At 47.1% G+C, this 1,665-nt stretch overlaps 1 annotated feature.

Moving 5' to 3' along the window:
• Window positions 633-1,302: an enhancer, noted in NCBI's record as "OCT4-NANOG hESC enhancer chr1:228736353-228737022 (GRCh37/hg19 assembly coordinates)". NCBI's record gives its function as "activates a minimal SCP1, AML or CMV promoter by ChIP-STARR-seq in primed H9 embryonic stem cells {active_cell/tissue: H9 hESC(primed)}" and the evidence as "EXISTENCE:reporter gene assay evidence [ECO:0000049][PMID:30033119]".

Genomic DNA, 1,665 nt, shown 5'->3' with positions numbered 1-1,665 from the left:
TGGGGGTACCCAGGCATTCTAATGTGAGAGGCTCCTGGCTGACTAAAGGCATTTTAATGATAGAGACACCTGGGTGACCCCAAAATTTCTATGATAGACCCACATAGGCGACCTTAGGAATTCTAATGGGAAAAACTCTTGGGTGACCCCAGACATTGTAATAACGGAGACACCTGGTGACCCCAGGCATTCTAATGAGAGAGACTCCTGCCCGACAACAGGCATTCTAATGATAGAGACACCTGGGCGACCCAAAGCATTGTAATGACAGAGGCACATGGACAACCCCAGACATTCTCATGAAAGATACTCCTGTTGGACCCAATACATTCTAATGCTAGTAACACCTGGGCGACCTTAGGCATTCAAATGATAGAGACACCTGGGTGACCCCAGGCATTCTAATGGGAGTGATCCCTGCCCATCCCCAGGCATTGTAATGATAGAGAAAACTGAGGGTACTCAGGCATTCTGAAAAGAGAGATTCCAGGCTGATACCAGGCATTCTAATGATAGAGACACCTGGGCAATTTCAGGCATTCTAATGGGAGACACTCCTGACCCACTGTAGGCATTGAAATGATAGAGACACCTGGGCGATCTCAGGCAATCTAATACGAGAGATTTTGGCTGACCCCAGACATTCTAATAATAGAGACACCTGGGCAACTCAATGCATTCTAATGGATAAAACTCCTGGTCAACACAAGCATTCTAATAATAGAGACACCTGAGTGACCCCAGATATTCTAATGATAAGGACTCTTGGGCAATTTCAGTCATTGTAATGGAAGAGATTCCTGGCCTACCCCAAGCATTCTAATAATAGAGATATCTGGGCAAACACAGCCATTCTAATGGGAGAGACTCCTGGCCAACCCCAGGCATTGTAATGATAAAGACAGCTGGGCAACCCCAGGCACTCTAATGGAAGAGACTCCTGGCCGGCTCAAGGCATTGTAATGATAAAGACACCTGGGCAACGCCATGCATTCTAATGGGAGAGACTCCCAGCCAACCCCAGGCATTGTAATGATAGTGACAGCTGGGTGACCCCAGGCATTCTAATGAGAGAGACTCCTGGCTGACCCAAGGCATTCTAATGATAGAGACACCTGGATGACCCCAGTCATTCTAATGATACAGACACCTGGGTGAAATCAGGCTTTCTAAAGGGAGAGACTCCTGCCTGACCACAGACATTGTAATAATAGAGACAACACGGTGATCTTAGGCATTCTAATGAAAGAGACTGCTGGCCCACCCCAAGCATTCTAATGATAGAGACACCTGGGCTACTCCAGACATTCTAATGTTAGAGACACCAGGGCGACCTAAGGTATTGTAATGGAGAGATACCTGGGCGACACCAGGCATTATAATAAGAGAGACACCTGTGTGACCCCAAGCATTCTATTGGGAGAGACTACTGGCTGACCCCAGGCATTGTAATAATAGGGACACCTTGGTGACCCCAGGTGTTCTAATGGGACAGACCCCTGACTGACCCCAAAATTCTAATGATAGAAAAACCTGGGTGTACTCCATCATTCTAATGGGAGAGACTCCTGGCTGACCCCAGGCATTCTAATAATAAAGACTTCTAGCTGACCCCAGGCATTGTCATGATAAAGACACCGGGTGACCCCAGGCATTCTAATAAGA

The sequence above is a fragment of the Homo sapiens genome, chromosome 1 (genome assembly GCF_000001405.40).
Source record: "Homo sapiens chromosome 1, GRCh38.p14 Primary Assembly".
Taxonomy (NCBI): Eukaryota; Metazoa; Chordata; class Mammalia; order Primates; family Hominidae; genus Homo; species Homo sapiens.
Note: the sequence above shows the minus strand (reverse complement) of the source record. Positions and strands in the feature narration are given on the sequence as shown.